General features: G+C 39.2%; 1 protein-coding gene across 8 annotated transcripts in view, besides 1 other annotated feature; it reads right to left on the minus strand.

The window, feature by feature from the left end:
* DNAH12 (dynein axonemal heavy chain 12) overlaps nucleotides 1-20,391 on the minus strand; it is a 262,335-nt gene that overhangs the window by 17,823 nt on the left and 224,121 nt on the right. For all 8 annotated transcript variants that reach the window (XM_047447667.1, XM_011533468.2, XM_047447668.1 and 5 more), the window contains 4 exons: nucleotides 11,947-12,097; nucleotides 11,485-11,738; nucleotides 10,821-10,961; nucleotides 2,972-3,109 (listed from right to left, as the gene is read on the minus strand). In XM_047447667.1, the coding sequence (XP_047303623.1) occupies nucleotides 2,972-3,109; nucleotides 10,821-10,961; nucleotides 11,485-11,738; nucleotides 11,947-12,097 (684 nt within the window). The remainder of the gene's footprint in view (nucleotides 1-2,971; nucleotides 3,110-10,820; nucleotides 10,962-11,484; nucleotides 11,739-11,946; nucleotides 12,098-20,391) is intronic.
* Nucleotides 12,929-13,452: an enhancer, noted in NCBI's record as "H3K27ac-H3K4me1 hESC enhancer chr3:57358479-57359002 (GRCh37/hg19 assembly coordinates)". NCBI's record gives its function as "activates a minimal SCP1, AML or CMV promoter by ChIP-STARR-seq in naive H9 embryonic stem cells {active_cell/tissue: H9 hESC(naive)}" and the evidence as "EXISTENCE:reporter gene assay evidence [ECO:0000049][PMID:30033119]".

Genomic DNA, 20,391 nt, shown 5'->3' on the forward strand with positions numbered 1-20,391 from the left:
TGTTTTATGGCACTAGCTATCAACTGGGGTTTTGTCCCCCAGGTTACATTTGGCAATGTCTGGAGATAACTTAGATGGTCACAACTGTGGTGGGGGCTGGGGTGTTACTGGCATCTATTGGGTAGAAGCCTGGGCTGCTGCTAGACAATACACAGGAGAGCTGCCCACAGCAAAGAACTATCTGGCCCAAAATGCCAATCATGCTAAGGCTGAGAACCAGGTGCCTGGTTTAGGAGACTTTTCACAATGTGATTAAAAACAAAGCAATTTCAAACTTTAGTGCAACAGCATAAATCACACACTATGACACAGTTCCACTGGCAATACATATCATTTCTAGTTTCCTTATTATTGTTGTAATAATAGTAATAAAAACTATCATTTGCATAGTTTTTATATTGTCTTATTCGCCTCTCAATAACTCTGCAGAGTAGGAAACAGTCTAGTAAATGTGAAGTAATATGAAGGCCTGAATTTATTTCTTCCAGTTCCAGATCCCATACTTGTTCTAATATACAGGAATTTTTGATAGTATGTGTATTGGGATGGTATAAGTTGTGGGTTGAGAGCTTTTCCTGCCCCTGAAGTTTACTTAATTATGCACAGTTGAGAAAAAAATAATTCTAAATTCTCTAGAACCAAGTTGAAAGAAGGCTTAATCCTTTAAGACTCCCACGTTTTGAAGAGGAAGAGAGGCGTCAAGAGATATGAAAGGGGACTGAGAAAGAGGGAAGGTCGTCGTTTTGGGAAATGAATTATTTGCAAAAAGAGTAAAGTTTTTCCATGTCTCTTCTTTGGGGGAGGGGAAGGGTGTGTTCAACTGGGTTCCTTCCCCTCCCAAAGCTGAAGGAAGAGACTTCACGAGAATGTAATGTTAAATTTGTGGCATATGCAAGAAGTGGAGACCAACAGCTCATTCTCTGGCTGTCTTTCCACTTAGCCCCATCAGTTTTCTGATTTGCCTTTTGGAGAGAGGCAGCCTGCTCATACCAGGTGAAGATGGCTTAAGGATTAATCCTCAATCATCTTTCCAGTTTCTGAAGAAATGAAACACGGATCCAGCCAATGCTGGCAGTTTCCAATGTTGGGGCTAGAAAGGTTGATGACATCAGAAGCTGTAGGCTGGGGCTTGGCCAGAAGATGATTGATTATATGCAGTATGATGGTTTTGGCAAAATGTTCTCCAAGCTTAGGCTGTACCAACTAAATTGGTCTCGAAAACCAATGTTTAAAATCAACGTCATTTCATCATGCAGTTACAATTCCATAGGCACCAATCTCAACAACTGTTACAAGGATTTTCAAATGGACATATTTATTCCAGTTAAGGTTTCTGCCCTGATATTTTTTAAAGACTCGATAAAATATCAACTATTTCTATACAAATTATGTGTTAACAATTTTTATTTTAAAGGTTGGTGTAAATATGATTAAATGCTTATAGCCTTACAAAAACCTACCTGACTGAAATCTAATAGCACCAATTAATTAGACTTTATCAATGCTTCTCTTTTCACTTCATTAGGTCCTATTTCAAAAAGGCCCCTCAGAACAGCAAAAGAGCAGAAAAATATTAATATTCTGTGTTTGTGTGAAAGGCCAGCTACTCACTTTCCCAAGCTCCCTTACAGCTAAAGCCTACGCCTGTGACCTGGGCTTGGCTACTCAGATGCGTCCACCTTAAACTAAGTAGGGGATTAATGTACAGAGAAGCAAGAACAGACCACCTATGGTGGCTCATGCCTGTAACCCAGCTTGAGACCAGGAGTTTGACACCAGCCTGGACAACGTAGCAAGACCCTGTCTCTACAAAATACGTTTAAAAAAAACAACAACAAACTTACAAGGGGCCGGGCATAGTGGCTCACACCTGTAATCTCAGCATTTTGGGAGGTGAGGCAGGTGGATTGCCTGAGCTCAGGAGTTTGAGACAAGCCTGAACAACAAGGTAAAACCCCATTTCTACTAAAAAATACAAAAAGTTAGCCAAGCACAGTGGCACACAACTGTAGTCCAAGCTACTTGGGAGGCTGAGGCATAAGAATAGCTTGAACTGGGAGGCACAGCTTGCAGTAAGCAGAGATCATGCCACTGCACTCCAGCCTGGGTGACAGAGTGAAACTCTGTTTCCAAACTTATCTGGGCATGGTGGCATGTGCCTGTAGTCCCAGTTACTCCAGAGGCTGAGGCAGGAGGATTGCTTGAACTCAGGAGTTCAAGGCTGTAGTGAGCTATGATTGCATCACTGCACTGTAGCCTGGGCAACACAGCGAGACCCCATCTCAAAAAAAATTAGTAACAGCAAAGAATCTCTTTGAATGTGGTCACGACAGCAGAGGCCTGCAATAGACTAGAGTCTATGTGGCAGCCATACAAGCTCTGGGGTCTAATATTCAACAAGGGTAGAGATGCTGCCTTATCAGACACAGAGTGATTTTGGATTTGACTCTGGATGCCTCTTCTCTGAGCTTGACTCTCCAGCTGTCTTGGTGATACTTTGAGCTACCCAATATCCTTTCAATAAATTATTTTTCTGCTGAAAGTAGACAAGCTGTTTCTGTTGATTGATAGAGCTAAGCTGTAGACTTGACCAAGTGGAGGAAAGTAGAGGATAGTGGGGACATATGTTAAGCCAACACTGACAATGGCACTGCACAAAGACAAAGAACCAGGGTCCTCGATGACAACACTGTGATGTTGCCGAATCAACCAAACCCAGAGTGTGTCCTTCTGCACCTCTTTATTATGTGAGTAATGAGTTTCATTGTGGTTTAAGCCAGTTTGAATCAGATTTCCCATTACTTGCAGCACAAAGAATCCAGATGGAGATAGTGCTTCATAAGCCATAGTTATTACCATCTACCCACCTGTTAGTGTTGGGAGAAGTGAATCAGCTATTCCAAGCAAAAGACTTGCCTAGGGCCTGATAAATAGTGATCCTTCATGAATGTTAATTTCTTGTTAATTTTACCTGCAGTTGTCGGATACTGATGCGCAAGTCAGATTCATTAAATCCATATGGAATATTCCAACCAAGAGGACCAAATTTCTTTCTCTCTTGCACAAGGGCATGAAAAAAACAAACTCCAAACAGTAACTTCTCCCAGGCCTTTAATATAAAAAGTACATAACAAGAAAAAAAATTCCGGTCAGATTCCATCAGTAAAATGAGAGGAATAGATAAATGATCTTTCTCACAAGATTCTGTGATCACGTATCTCTACAAACTTCTATTTTAAAAAAATCCTATCTAAAATAATACTTACTATAAATAGTATTCATCTTATGATTTAATTCAAATCTCCAAATCTGGACAAACCATAGTAATATTAAGCCTTGTTAAAATGCAAAAACGTTATCATTTTACCAAAGTATTGACTAATAATACTTTGGTATTACTCGCAGAGATTTACAACTTCAATACTTAAATGTTATTCTGTAAACTTGCTGGCATATGCTTGAGACTGTAAGTGCAGGGGAATGATTAACCATTATGATATGAATAAATCCCAATATGTCATTCATGACTTTGTGACTTTCCATTTGAAAATCATTTTTGAAACCATTGTTTATTTGATCTGCTTTGTGGCATCCCCGTGTCTGTGATATGCATGTCACATGGGCTTCTCAAGAAATCTGTGTCAGTGTTCCAGAGGATGGTCGCCCAAGTCTTTAAGGTCCCCCCCAAGTAAATTTCAAGTATGATACACAGCATGTATTTTAATTTAGAATATTTCAAACATAGCTCCAAATCCAGTGAAAATCCATCCAGCTATTTTCATATAATGCAGTAGTAGACATTATTCTTCAATATTAAAATGCAAGTACACTATGCTTTACTGAGTAGATACGTTTTTGAAATGTTCTAAGTACATCAAAGCATATTTTAAACATACTAGATGAATGCTGTGGTGAAACATTTCATAGGGGAAGAACCTTTAGCAATAAGAGCAATGATCTAATTTACATGTATTTTCTACATATTTTTAAATAGTGGGTTTTCTTAAGGCAGGAACCATCCTTAAAATTCTGGAAAACTGAATGATCACATTTGTTTCTGTCTTTGGACTCTATCTAGACTGGGTTCCTCCAAAAGTAGACCTTGAGAGAAAGATGCGGGTGAAGGTGGGTGTATGGGAGAAGTGATCCCAGGAAGCAGGAAAGGAGTAGGGAAAGGGAGGCAGAGAAAGAGGAAAAGTATCAGGAAGAATTATGGAAGTTGTTGCTGTGATGAGGACTCAGTTCTGCTGGGACAAGTGGTCTCTGAATAGTTGAAGGTTGCCCCTGGGGTTGATAATTTCTCCACATTTTTGGTCTATGCTTGTGTGTCTACAGGCGAAGAAGGCTCCTGTTGCATCAGAGAAATCTCGAGGAAAGAAAACAGAAAGATGCATACTTGAGATAAGGTGCTGTAGCCTATGAAGAGTCTGAACTCACAAAGAACTATCTTCTACAATTGTGGCTGAAATTAGATATGGACCGAAGAGCTGTGACAAAGGACGTCAGAGTAGTTTGCCACAGTCCTGTTATCTAGATATTCTAAAAACTAGATATTCTTTAAAAAACTTTTAAACATTAAAACATACTTTCTTAAAAAATAACCCCTTCCCCTTTTTTTTTTTTGCTTGTTTTTGACTAAGCCAAGGGGGCAGTAGGATGCTGTCTTCTCTGCCTAAAGATGATACCACTGACCTGCCATCAGTGAGGGTATGCATTTTAGTTTGTTTTCTATGACATGATGCTGTTTTGTGTTGACTCATTCAAACTCCTTAGCAAGGCATGTAAAGACTTCCAGTCTTGACCCAATATTCCTTCCCATTCTTATTTCCTACCAGTTTAGCCAAAATGAGGTCCTTATTGCTCTTTCAACAACCTTGTCATAATAGTTGTGCATATTAAACATACTTCTTGTGCCTACTTCAAATATCATTTCTTCCATGAAGCTTTTTTTCAACTCAGCCAAGCAGAGTTAATCACACACAAATGGAAAGAGTCAGATGTCCTGGGTGCCAAATCCCACCTCCAACACTGGGCTGAGCTGTACGACTGATATCGTTTGGCTCTGTGTCCCCACCTAAATCTCAGCTCAATTTGTAATCCCCGCTTTTCAAGGGAGGGACCTATAATCCCTGCGTGTTGAGGGAGGGAGGTGACTCAATCATGGGGGCAGTTTCCCCCATACTGTTCTTGTGATAGTGAGTTCTCACGAGATCCGATGGTTTTATAAGTGTTTGGAAGTTCTTCCTTTGCTGTTCTCTCTCCTGCTGCCTTGTGAAGAAGGTGCTTGCTTCCCCCTCACCTTCCACCATGATTGTAAGTTTCCCGAGGCTTCCCCAGCCATGTGGAATTGTAAGTCAATTAAACCTCTTTCCTTTATAAATTACCCAGTCTCAGATATTTCTTTATAGCAGTGTAAGAACGGACTAATTCAATGACCTCAATAATTTATTTAATTCATTTGAGCCTCAGTTTCCTTATTTAACAAATAGATGTGTGCAAATGATACCTATATTAGAGGACTGTTGCAAGGCTTATATATTTAAACTAACTGAAATCTGCTGGTGGTCAATAAATGTTTGCCCCTTTCCTCCCTTCCTTTCTTTGTCCTCCCTTAGTTCATAACACTATCATGGCTGTTGCGTGCAGTTGAACATGCAAATTTGTTTGTTTACATCATACATGTTTTAATAATTTTCATTTTATTGTGGTAAAACATTTAACATGAAATCTACCATCTTAAATTTTTAAATGTACAATACAGTATTGTTAACTATAAGGACAATGTTGTACAGCTAATCTCCAGAATTTATTCACCTTGCATAATTGAGACACTATTCCCATTAATAAGCAACTCCCTATTTCCCCCTCCCACAGCCCCAGGTAACCACCTTCTGATTCTATGAGTTTGACTATTTTTGATACCCTATATAAGTGGAATCATACAGCATTTCTCTTTCTGTGACTGGCTTAGTTCACTTAGGATAATGTCTTCAAGTTTTATCCATGTTGTCATATATGGCAGTATTTTCTTCTTTTTAAGGCTGAATAATATTCTACGAATGGGCATTTAGGATGTTTCCACATACTGGCTATTGTGAATGGTGCTGCAATGAACACTGGCCTGCTAATATCTCTTAGAGATCCTGATTTCAATTTTTTTGGATACTCAGAAGTGAGACTGCTGGATCATATGTTCTGTTTTTAATTTTTTGAGAGTCTCCATACTGTTTTCCTTAATGGCTGCACCACTTTGCATTACCACCAACAGTGTATGAGGGCTCCAATTTTGTCCTTGCTAATACATGCTGGTTTTTGTTTTTTTGAAAATAGCCATCCCAGAAGGTATGAGATGATATCTCATTGTGGTTTTGATTTGCATTTCCCTGCTGACTACTGACATTGAGCATTTTTTCATATATCTGTTGGCCATTTGTATGTCTTCTTTGGAGAAATGTCTATTCAAACCTTTAGCCCATTTTTAATCTGGTTATTCTTTGTTTTCTGTTGTTGTTATTGAGGTGTTCCATATATATTTTGGAAATTAACTCCTTATCTAATATATGGTTTGCAAATAATTTCTCCCATTCCTTAGGTTGGCTTTTCACTTTGTTGATCATTTCCTTTGCTGTGCAGAAGCTTTTTAGTTTGGTTTGATCCCACTTTCTTTTTGTTGCCTGTGTTTTGGTGTCATATCTATGAAATTATTGCTAAGATCAATGTCGTGAAGCTTTCCTTCTAAGTGTTCTTCCGTAAGTTTTACAGTTTCAAATCTTACATGTAAGTCTTTAATCCATTTTGAGTTGATTTTTATGTATAGTGTAAGATAGGAGTTAAATTTCATTCTTTTGCATGTGGATATGCAGTTTTCTCAATACCAGTTGTTGAAGAGACTATACTTCTCCCATTGTATATTCTTGGCACCTTTGTCAAAGATCAGTTGACCTTATATGTGTAGATTGATTTCTGAGCTCTCTATTCTTTTCCTCTGGTCTGTATGTCTGACTTTATACTAGTACAGGTTGAGCATCCTAAACCCCAAAACCCAAAATCCAAAATGCTCCAAAATCCAAAACTTTTTGAGTACCAACATGATGCTCAAAGGAAATGCTCATTAGAGCATTTCAGGTTTTGTATTTTTGTATTTGGAATGTTAACTGGTAAGTATAATGCAAATATTCCAAAATTAAAAAAAAAAATCCCAAGCATTCCAGATAAGGAATACTTAACCTGTACCATATTGTTTTAATCACTGTAGCTTTGTATTATATTTTGAAATCAGGAAGTAGCCTGATTTCAGAGAACAAAGCCTCTAGCTTTGTTTTTTCTCAACATTGGTTTGGCCATTTAAGATCTTTTGTGGTTCTATATGAATTTTAGAGTTTTTAAGATTGGGATTTTGATAGGGATTGCTAAATTAAATCTGTAGATCACTTTGGTTAGTTTGCACATTTTAATAATTTAAGTCTTCCAATCCATGAACATGGGATATTTTTCCATGTTCATGTCTTCTTTAACTTATTGCATCAATGTTTTGTAGTTTTCAGTGTATATATCTTTCACCTCCTCAGTTGAATTTATTCCTAAGTATTTTATTGTTTTTGGTACTATTATAAATGGGATTGTTTTCCTAATTTCCATTTCAGATAGTTTGTTGTTGGTGTACAGAAATGCAACTAATTTTTATATGTTGATTTTGTACCCTAAACTTTACTGAATTCATTGATTAGCTCTGACAGGTTTTTCTTGTGTGGAGTTTTGTGGTTTTCTATATACATAAGATCACATCATCTGCAAACAAGGACAATTTTACTTCTTCTGGTTTGATTTGGATGCCTCCTGTTTCTTTTTCTTGCCTAATTGTTCAGTCTAGGACTTCCAGTCTATGTTGAACAGAAGTAGAAGGAGTGGGCTTCCATGCCTTCTTTCTGATCTTACAGGAAAAATTTTCAGTTTTTCCATGGTTGAGTATAATATAAGTTGTGGTATTTTCATATTGGCTTTTATTATGTTGAGGTAATTTTCTTCTATTCCTCGTTTGTTAAGAGTTGTTTTTTGGTTTTGTTTTGTTTCTTCCTGAGATGGAGTCTTGCTCTGTTGCCCAGGCTGGAGTGCAGTGGCACGATCTCAGCTCACTGCACCCTCCACCTCACAGGCTCAAGCAATTCTCCTGCCTCTTCCTGAGTAACTGGGATTATAGCCACATGCCACCACACCTTGCTAATTTTTTTTTTTTTTGTATTTTTAGTAGAGACAGGTTTCACCATGTTGGCTAGGCTGGTCTTGAACTCCTGACCTCAAGTGATCCTCCTACCTCAGTCTCCCAAAGTGACAGGATTACAGGCATGAGCCACCATGCCCAGCTGAGAGTTTATATTATAAAAAAGTGTTGAATTTTGTTGGATGCTTTTTCTGCATCTAGTGAGATGATCATGTGATTTTTATCTTTCTTCTGTTAATGTGTATTACATTAATTGATTTTTATAAGTTGAATCATTTTAGCATCCCAGGGGATAAATCCCACTTGGCCATGGTGTATATATATGATATGCTATATTTATGCTTGTTCTTGAGCCTTACTTCAAATTTAGTGAATCAGAATTCCAGAAGTAGGGCACTGACATCTGTAGCTTTAACAAGTCCCCCAGGTTTGTGGGGATTATGGTTGAGCTTGCTTTCCACAGGTTTCCTTTGACTAAAATGTCAGCTCCATAAAGACAGGAAATTTTTACATGTTTTTATATATGTTCATTGCCATATTACCAGTTCCTATAAGAATGTCTTGCACCTAGTAGGTACTCAATAAATATTTACTAAATAAATAAGTGAAGATACAGAAATGTATCCCTGCCCTTAAGGAGAATAAAGTGAGTACAGCAGGCAGATCTATAGACTCATAACGAATGTCTTATCATTGCTAGGTAATTCAAACGCCCAAGATATCAACAACCTGTGACTAAAAAGATCTTATTTACTTTTAATGGCCAAATGATGATAGTTCAAATTATTGCTGGCCTAATTGTCAGAAATTAGCCTTATCGAAAGGCATTCCAGCTATTTCTGGAAGCCTCAGTGGAATTTCAATATGTCTACAAACCAGTCACACCTGCAGAAACTGGAAGGCAATGGTTTTCAAAGTGTGATTCCAGAACCAGCCACATCAACATCACCAGGGAATTTGTTAGAACTATAAATTCTTAAGCCTCACCCCAGACCCACTGAATTAGAGACTCTGGGGATGGGACCCAGCAAGATGTGTTTGAACAAGCCCTCTAGGGGAATCGGATGCATACTGAGAACCCATGTCACAGGGCATTTACATTCTTTTACTTCTCTTACCCCAGCTTTCATTTGTTTGTACTACCAGAGAAGTTGCTTGGTGAAGCCTTACCTATTACCACTGTTCATCACAAAAATGATGATACATGGCAAGGATACTAACTTCAGATATCCCAACAAATCCCAATACTTACGGTGCCAGCGTAGCTTGCTCAATGTTGTAATACCCAAGGAGTGAGAATGCTTCTTCTCTAACTCAGCACCATTTTTATTTGAATAATCTGAGTCCCAAATTAGCTCTGCTTGAGCTTAGAATCTTTCAAAATTTCCCTTCTCTTTCTTGCCCTCGCTCTTCTAATTGCAGGAGCTCAAACTCTGGATGAGGATTAGACACCATACTATCTTCTCCATTCTACTAAGCTCTCTTTCTAAATAAAACCACAAAATATCCTCTCTTGTTCTAAGATTTGCAAACAAAATTATGGCGCAGAACTAGGGTACACAGAAAGTGTCATTAAGCAGAGGGAAAATACCTGACTTTCAAAGAATTTAGTTAATTTTACCTTCAATATCATTTTTTCTAGCTCAAACATGAAAATATGATAAATAGTACATGTTGGGGTGAGGGCAGGGGATGATTTTCTCACAGTAATGTTTCATGTGCCCAATTAATAATGTAACACGCTGGACTTTTCTCCATTCTTGTACTCACTTGCTGCAGGAGAGAGGAGTGACCTACCGGACTGGTAAACTTGGGGAAAATTAACCAGATATGCTCAGCCCAGCTTCTCCCTTTTCTTTCTTAGAAGTGAGCTTCTTACAGGGACCTGGGTTTTCCTTTACTCTTCTGGGTGGATAAATTTGCTTAATTTTAGGGCTCAGTAATATGAAACCCATTTGTTCACAGATATAAGCTATATCTTCCAATCTAGCCTATATCAATAATTAAGCCTATAATTTGGTTACCATACATTTATACTTTTCCCTGTTTCTCAATTGGTAAGAATTCAGGCAGGGAAATGAGTACTCTCTACTGGGACCCTTAAAGTCTCCAGTACTGTAAACAAAACTGTTTAAGGTGGATATACGAAAAAGCACTATTAATATGCTTAACATTATTACTAGAATCTAAGTTTCATAAAGGCAGATTTCTTTGTCTGTCTATTTTGTTCTCATTGCTTTATATCTACACTACCTAGGAGAGGGCCTGGCACACATACTTGTTGAAAAAGAATCAACAATGGGAAAATAGATTTCTACTCTCGGGTCCTAATCAAAAACATTACTGGGCTTTGGCTTACAAACTAAGATTCATTCATTCAACAAATATTTATTTCGATGTCTACTGTGTGGGAAGTGGAACACAAACTATATTGAATAAAATGGTGAACAAGATAAGTACAATTTTTGTCTTGTTAGGAAATGCGTAAAGTTTTAAAAACATTAAATAAAAATGTTACAAAAGCATTATTAAACAAAATTTTACACTTCCATATTTGATCACTATAAAACACATTTTAAAAGTTCCAAAAGATGAATATTACCAGTTCCTTTCCACGGCATCCCTTGAAAAACTCAGGATCAGAAACTGGATCAGTGAGATATGATTGAAGGAGATTCAGCCGAAGACCCGTGGGAGGTTCATTAGTCATTTTTACTCCATTCTGTAGAATTGTTACTGGGAACTAAGACAAAATAAATGGAGAGCATTATACAAGATAGCAAGTGGAGGCTCTAAAAGTGCATATACACGTGGATTAAAAAACAGGCATAATGGAGAACTCCAGAAATATTCAAAAAACCTCTTAAGGTTAAGCATCTGAGGCTTGATTAAGATATGCAGACAGCTGGCCAGGCGTGGTGGTGCATGCCTGAAATCCCAGCACTTTGGGAGGCTGAGGCGGGTGGATCACCTGAGGTCAGGAGTTCGAGACCAGGCTGGCTGACATGGTGAAACCCCATTTCTACTAAAAATACAAAAATTAGCCGAGCATGGTGGTATGCGCCTGTAATCCCAGCTACTGGGGAGGCTGAGGCAGGAGAATCGCTTGAACCCGGGAGGCGAAGTTTGCGGTGAGCCGAAATTGCGCCACTGCACTCCAGCCTGGGAGACAGAGTAAGACTCCGTCTCAAAACAAACAAACAAAACAAATAAGATATACAGATAGCTAAGTAAATGTACTTAACTCTATAAGGAAATAAACATACTTTTGAAGATGGATAGCTTGTCAGCCAAAGCCTAAAGGATGAGTTACAGGTTTCAGAGGTAAAATCTTCACATATTTTTTCCAACATGGGCATCCAGGACACTGCAAGATGGCAATTCTGTAGGCACACCCAAGTTCCTTCTTCAATTGCTGCTTTAATCATTTTTGCTGCAATCGGTCCTTGTCCCTGTCCCAGTGAAATAGCTTGAAACTTATTTCCAGACATAGATTTATCATTTGCAAATTTCAGCAGGCCTATAAGAGGCACAAAAAAATGGTCACACTACTTACTCTAAAATTATAAAAAAGTGCCTTATGTATAGGTGTTTTATCATGAAAAATTCTAGTTACGTTTCTCTGTAAATATCAGATTTACTAACTGATTTATAATCATATAAGGAATCAGTATTGAGCAAGATGTTTTATTTATGATTTCTTAAAAGTTTACAGTATATGCACTTACTGGCCATAGGATCTGCTCCTGGAGATAGAACAAAAATTAAGGGAATGGTGCAATTTGAATCCAAGTAACTCTTTGTCAAATCAAATGGTGGAGGCTCTACAAACTTTTTCCCTAGTTTGTCAGTTACATAGTTTGTTATAGCTGGGGTTATCTGTTGAAGAGAAAAGATATGATCTTTAGAGCAACTTTTATTTCACATAATGGATATGAATATTATTGAAAAACAACAAAGAATACAATTTGAGCCTAATGGTCAAAAAAAGCATATAGCATCATAGACAAAGCACTAATTTCTCTAAAAAATAAAAACTATATACATTTATAGGAGAAGACTATCCAAAAGATAAATGGGCAAAGGAGACAAACTGCTTAGAGAAAATCAAGTACAAATTGATCCTAAACATATGAGGGATGCTCAATGTCACTCATTATAGCAGAGATTGCATATTGTCCCACTTATTTGTCTCTGTTTGGTATTAGAACCCCAAGTTTTCCTGGCATTTCTTGCAGGTAATGTGGCCATGTGACTAAGTTTTGGCCAGAGAGATACAAGTAGAAATTACTTATGGATCTTCCAGATAATATTTTAAGGAAGCTATTTGCCTTCAACAATTTCTTCTCTTTTCAACATAGCGTTCACAAGCCAGCTTCCATTTTGCTGATGAGGACCACACTGTAAGCATGAAAGAACCTGAGTTTCTGGGTGATCTCAGGAGCAAGAGCTTCCCTGTCAGCCCTTCATCATTTGCCTCTGAGCTGTTAGGAGAGAGAGAAATTAACTTCTATTTGATTTAAGCCACTGTACTTTAGGTCCCTTTGTTACAGCAGCTTCATTTATACGCTAATACTCATAATAAGAAAAATACAAATTATAACTATACTTAGATACCATTTTTAACCTATTGAATTGTTATATAAATCAGCCAAAGATGGCCTGGGAGGCCATGATATCTTGATATTTGGTCAAATAGCAGTCTACACATGTTGCTGTGAAGGTATTTTTGGATGAGATTAATATTTAAATTAGTAGATATGGAGTAAGGCAGATTGCCCTCCACAATGTGGTGGGCCTCATACAATCAGTTGAAAGCCTTAAGAAAGAAAAAAGCCTGGGGGGAGGAGCCAAGATGGCCGAATAGGAACAGCTCCGGTCTACAGCTCCCAGCGTGAGCCACGCAGAAGAGGGGTGATTTCTGCATTTCCATCTGAGGTACTTGGTTCATCTCACTAGGGAGTGCCAGACAGTGGGCGCAGGTCAGTGGGTGCAGCGCACCATGCACAAGCCGAAGCAGGGCGAGGCATTGCCTCACTCGGGAAGCGCAAGGGGTCAGGGAGTTCCCTTTCCTAGTCAAAGAAAGGGGTGACGGATGACACCTGGAAAATTGGGTCACTCCCACCCAATACTGCGCTTTTCCGATGGGCTTAAAAAACGGCACACCAGGAGATTATATCCCCCACATGGCTCAGAGGGTCCTACGCCCATGAAGTCTCGCTGATTGCTAGCACAGCAGTCTGAGATCAAACTGCAAGGCGGCAGCGAGGCTGGGGAAGGGGCGCCCGCCATTGCCCAGGCTTGCTTAGGTAAACAAAGCAGCTGGAAAGCTCCAACTGGGTGGAACCCACCACAGCTCAAGGAGGCCTGCCTGCCTCTGTAGGCTCCACCTCTGGGGGCAGGGCACAGACAAACAAAAAGACAGCAGTAACCTCTGCAGACTTAAATGTCCCTGTCTGACAGCTTTGAAGAGAGCAGTGGTTCCCCCAGCACGCAGCTGGAGATCTGAGAACGGGCAGACTGCCTCCTCAAGTGGGTCCCTGACCTCTGACCCCTGAGCAGCCTAACTGGGAGGCACCCCCAAGTAGGGGCAAACTGACACCTCACACGGCTGGGTACTCCTCTGAGACAAAACTTGCAGAGGAACGATCAGATAGCAGCATTCGTGGTTCACGAAAAACCACTGTTCTGCAAACACCTCTGCTGATACCCAGGCAAACAGGGTCTGGAGTGGACCTCTAGCAAACTCCAACAGACCTGCAGCTGAGGGTCCTGTCTGTCAGAAGGAAAACTAAAACAGAAAGGACATCCACACCAAAAACCCATCTGTACATCACCATCATCAAAGACCAAAAGTAGATACAACCACAAAGATGGGGAAAAAACAGAGCAGAAAAACTGGAAACTCTAAAAAGCAGAGCACCTCTCCTCCTCCAAAGGATCACAGTTCCTCACCAGCAATGGAACAAAGCTGGACGGAGAGTGACTTTGACGAGTTGAGAGAAGAAGGCTTCAGACAATCAAACTACGAGCTACAGGAGGAAATTCAAACCAAAGGCAAAGAAGTTAAAAACTTTGAAAAAAATTTAGACAAATGTATAATTAGAACAACCAATACAGAGAAGTGCTTAAAGGAGCTGATGGAGCTGAAAGCCAAGGCACGAGAACTATGTGTAGAATGCAGAAGCCTCAGGAGCCGATGCGATCAGCTGGAAGAAAGGGTATCAGTGATGGAAGATGAAATGAAGCGAGAAGGGAAGTTTAGAGAAAAAAGAATAAAAAGAAACGAACAAAGCCTCCAAGAAATATGGGACTATGGGAAAAGACCAAATCTACGTCTGATTGGTGTACTTGAAAGTGACGGGGAGAATGGAACCAAGTTGGAAAACACTCTGCAGGATATTATCCAGGAGAACTTCCCCAATCTAGCAAGGCAGGCCAACATTCAGATTCAGGAAATACAGAGAATGCCACAAAGATACTCCTCGAGAAGAGCAACTCCAAGACACATAATTGTCAGATTCACCAAAGTTGAAATGAAGGAAAAAATGTTAAGGGCAGCCAGAGAGAAAGGTCGGGTTACCCACAAAGGGAAGCCCATCAGACTAACAGCTGAGCTCTCGGCAGAAACTCTACAAGCCAGAAGAGAGTGGGGGCCAATATTCAACATTCTTAAAGAAAAGAATTTTCAACCCAGAATTTCATATCCAGCCAAACTAAGCTTCAGAAGTGAAGGAGAAATAAAACACTTTACAGACAAACAAATGCTGAGCAATTTTGTCACCACCAGGCCTGCCCTAAAAGAGCTCCTGAAGGAAGCACTAAACATGGAAAGGAACAACCAGTACCAGCCGCTGCAAAATCATGCCAAAATGTAAAGACCATGGAGACTAGGAAGAAACTGCATCAAGTAATGAGCAAAATAACCAGCTAACATCATAATGACAGGTTCATATTCACACATAACAATATTAACTTTAAATGTAAATGGACTAAATGCTCCAATTAAAAGACACAGACTGGCAAATTGGATAAAGAGTCAAGACCCATCAGTGTGTTGTATTCAGGAAACCCATCTCATGTGCAGAGACACACATAGGCTCAAAATAAAAGGATGGAGGAAGATCTGCCAAGCAAATGGAAAACAAAAAAAGGCAGGGGTTCCAATCCTGGTCTCTGATAAAACAGACTTTAAACCAACAAAGATCAAAAGAGACAAAGAAGGCTATTACATAATGGTAAAGGGATCAATTCAACAAGAAGAGCTAACTATCCTAAATATATATGCACCCAATACAGGAGCACCCAGATTCATAAAGCAAGTCCTGAGTGACCTACAAAGAGACTTAGACTCCCACACAATAATAATGGGAGACTTTAACACCCCACTGTCAACATTAGACAGATCAACGAGACAGAAAGTCAACAAGGATACCCAGGAGTTGAACTCAGCTCTGCACCAATGGACCTAATAGACATCTACAGAACTCGCCACCCCAAATCAACAGAATATACATTTTTTTCAGCACCACACTACACCTATTCCAAAATTGACCACATAGTTGGAAGTAAAGCTCTCCTCAGCAAATGTAAAAGAACAGAAATTATAACAAACTATCTCTCAGACCACAGTGCAATCAAACTAGAACTCAGGATTCAGAAACTCACTCAAAACCGCTCAACTACATGGAAACTGAACAACCTGCTCCTGAATGACTACTGGGTACATAGCGAAATGAAGGCAGAAATAAAGATGTTCTTTGAAACCAACGAGAACAAAGACACAATATACCAGAATCTCTGGGACACATTCAAAGCAGTGTGTAAAGGGAAATTTATAGCACTAAATGCCCACAAGAGAAAGCAGGAAAGATCTAAAATTGACACCCTAACATCACAATTAAAAGAACTAGAAAAGCAAGAGCAAACACATTCAAAAGCTAGCAGAAGGCAAGAAATAACTAAAACCAGAGCAGAACTGAAGGAAATAGAGACACAAAAAACCCTTCAAAAAATTAATGAATCCAGGAGCTGGTTTTTTGAAAGGATCAACAAAATTGATAGACCGCTAGCAAGACTAATAAAGAAAAAAAAGAGAGAAGAATCAAATAGATGCAATAAAAAATGATAAAGGGGATATCACCACTGATCCAACAGAAATACAAACTACCATCAGAGAATACTACAAACACCTCTACACAAATAAACTAGAAAATCTAGAAGAAATGGATAAATTCCTCGACACATACACTCTCCCAAGACTAAACCAGGAAGAAGTTGAATCTCTGAATAGACCAACAACAGGATCTGAAATTGTGGCAATAATCAATAGCTTACCAACCAAAAAGAGTCCAGGACCAGATGGATTCACAGCCGAATTCTACCAGAGGTACAAGGAGGAACTGGTACCATTCCTTCTGAAACTATTCCAATCAATAGAAAAAGAGGGAATCCTCCCTAACTCATTTTATGAGGCCAGCATCATCCTGATACCAAAGCCTGGCAGAGACACAACCAAAAAAGAGAATTTAGACCAATATCCTTGATGAACATTGATGCAAAAATCCTCAATAAAATACTGGCAAACTGAATCCAGCAGCACATCAAAAAGCTTATCCACCATGATCAAGTGGGCTTCATCCCTGGGATGCAAGGCTGGTTCAATATACTCAAATCAATAAATGTAATCCAGCATATAAACAGAACCAAAGACAAAAACCACATGATTATCTCAATAGATGCAGAAAAGGCCTTTGACAAAATTCAACAACCCTTCATGCTAAAAACTCTCAATAAATTAGGTATTGATGGGATGTATCTGAAAATAATAACAGCTATCCATGACAAACCCACAGCCAATATCATACTGAATGGGCAAAAACTGGAAGCATTCCCTTTGAAAACTGGCACAAGACAGGGATGCCCTCTCTCACCACTCCTATTCAACATAGTGTTGGAAGTTCTGGCCAGGGCAATTAGGCAGGAGAAGGAAATAAAGGGTATTCAATTAGGAAAAGAGGAAGTCAAATTGTCCCTGTTTGCAGATGACATGATTATATATCTAGAAAACCCCATTGTCTCAGCCCAAAATCTCCTTAAGCTGATAAGCAAATTCAGCAAAGTCTCAGGATACAAAATCAATGTACAAAAATCACAAGCATTCTTATACACCAATAACAGACAAACAGAGAGCCAAATCATGAGTGAACTCCCATTCACAATTGCTTCAAAGGGAATAAAATACCTAGGAATCCACCTTACAAGGGACGTGAAGGACCTCTTCAAGGAGAACTACAAACCACTGCTCAATGAAATTAAAGAGGATACAAACAAATGGAGGAACATTCCATGCTCATGGGTAGGAAGAATCAATATTGTGAAAATGGCCATACTGCCCAAGGTAATTTATAGATTCAATGCCATCCCCATCAAGCTACCAATGCCTTTCTTCACAGAATTGGGAAAAACTACTTTAAAGTTCATATGGAACCAAAAAAGAGCCTGCATTGCCAAGTCAATCCTAAGCCAAAAGAACAAAGCTGGAGGCATCACACTACCTGACTTCAAACTATACTACAAGGCTACAGTAACAAAAACAGCATGGTACTGGTACCAAAACAGAGATATAGATCAATGGAACAGAACAGAGCCCTCAGAAATAACGCCACATATCTACAACTATCTGATCTTTGACAAACCTGAGAAAAACAAGCAATGGGGAAAGGATTCCCTATTTAATAAATGGTGCTGGGAAAACTGGCTAGCCATATGTAGAAAGCTGAAACTGGATCCCTTCCTTACACCTTATACAAAAATCAATTCAAGATGGATTAAAGACTTAAACGTTAGACCTAAAACCATAAAAACCCTAGAAGAAAACCTAGGCATTACCATTCAGGACATAGGCATGGTCAAGGACTTCATGTCTAAAACACCAAAAACAATGGCAACAAAAGCCAAAATTGACAAATGGGATCTAATTAAACTAAAGAGCTTCTGCACAGCAAAAGAAACTACCATCAGAGTGAACAGGCAACCCACAAAATGGGAGAAAATTTTCGCAACCTACTTATCTGACAAAAGGCTAATATCCAGAATCTACAATGAACTCAAACAAATTTACAAGAAGAAAACAAACAACCCCATCCAAAAGTGGGCAAAGGACATGAACAGACACTTCTCAAAAGAAGACATTTATGCAGCCAAAAAACACATGAAAAAATGCTCACCATCACTGGCCATCAGAGAAATGCAAATCAAAACCACAATGAGATATCATCTCATACCAGTTAGAATGGCAATCATTAAAAAGTCAGGAAACAACAGGTGCTGGAGAGGATGTGGAGAAATAGGAACACTTTTACACTGTTGGTGGGACTGTAAACTAGTTCAACCATTGTGGAAGTCAGTATGGTGATTCCTCAGGGATCTAGAACTAGAAATACCATTTGACCCAGCCATCCCATTACTGGGTATATACCCAAAGGACTATAAATCATGCTGCTATAAAGACACATGCACACGTATGTTTATTGCGGCACTATTCACAATAGCAAAGACTTGGAACCAACCCAAATGTCCAACAATGATAGACTGGATTAAGAAAATGTGGCACATATACACCATAGAATACTATGCAGCCATAAAAAAGGATGAGTTCATGTCCTTTGTAGGGACATGGATGAAGCTGGAAACCATCATTCTCAGCAAACAATTGCAAGGACAAAAAACCAAACACTGCATATTCTCACTCATAGGTGGGAATCGAACAGTGAGAACACATGGACACAGGAGGGGGAACATCACACTCTGGGGACTGTTGTGGGGTGGGGGGAGGGGGGAAGGATAGCATTGGGAGATATACCTAATGCCAGATGATGAGTTAGTGGGTGCAGTGCACCAGCATGTCACATGTATACATATGTAACTAACCTGCACATTGTGCACATGTACCCTAAAACTTAAAGTATAATAATTAAAAAAAAAAAAAAAAGAAAAATGCCTGATTTCCCCTGAGGAAGAGGACCTTTTGCCAGCAAACTGCCTTTGGACTTGAGCTGCAACATCAACTCCTCCTTGAGTTTCCAGCCTGCCAGCTTACCATGCAGATTCACCAGCTTCCACAATCACACCAGCCAATTCCTTTCAGAAAATCAATCAATCAATCAATCAATTCCCCTCCCCTGTTGTTTTATTTCTCTGGAGAACAGAGGGAAACAAGTAGAAGGCCTGAATAATATAGGCTTTAATTCCATTTAGTTTAACTCAATTCAATTCAACTTAATTCATAGACATTTGTTGAGCTTCTACCATCTGTCAGACATTGCTCTAAATCCTGGCGATACAGAGGAAAATAACACATGAATCTTGACCTCAAGAAGCTCACAGTCTAGTGGGAGACCCTAAAAAGTAAGCAGACAATTATTGTACATTCTAATGGGGTAAGGGCTATGGTATATAAGCACAGGCTTCCAAACACGGCAGACAAAGCAAAAACCCTACATGTGGTATTGAAACAATATCTCTACTGCCCATCAGGGGAGCCATTCTGTAAAGTGCAAATAGGCAGGTGTTCCCAGATACATAGCTATTAAGTCTTCGTCATGAACAAGGGAGGCTACTGGTGATAAAATAATGAATAAACCATTATTTAGGGGTTCCAGGGACTTAAAGTGACTCTCTAGTTAGAGTCACTGTGTATGTCTATACACAGACACATATGCACACACAACTATCAGGCAAGAATGAGATGAATATTAACCAAGTACAAAGGTCTTTGGGAATCAGGGTAAGGAGTAAAACATTTATGTAGGCCTCTGTTTAAATCTACCCAGAGACAGAGCATTAGATAATGTTCCTTGTGAGACTTTACTAAAACGGTAAAATTTTTTTCTTTTAAAAAAAGAAGGAAGAAACGAAGGGACTATTGCAATCACTTTCAAAACCTTCATATTTTTCATGGTGTAGGTGAAGTGACTTACTGGTAAAGATTCTTTCCTCAAACAAACCTTAGTTAGACAGGCTCCTCTGAACCCCTTTTTCTATGAGGCCTTGTCTTCAAGAGCCCAGTTGTAGCAAGAACCCTGCTAGCCAGTTTAGTGAGAGTCCCCTACCCTCTACATCTGATCGCCCTCCATATCTGATCAAATTCCTCATACCCTGCCATCTCCCAG

This window comes from Homo sapiens, chromosome 3, assembly GCF_000001405.40.
Source record: "Homo sapiens chromosome 3, GRCh38.p14 Primary Assembly".
NCBI lineage: Eukaryota > Metazoa > Chordata > Mammalia > Primates > Hominidae > Homo > Homo sapiens.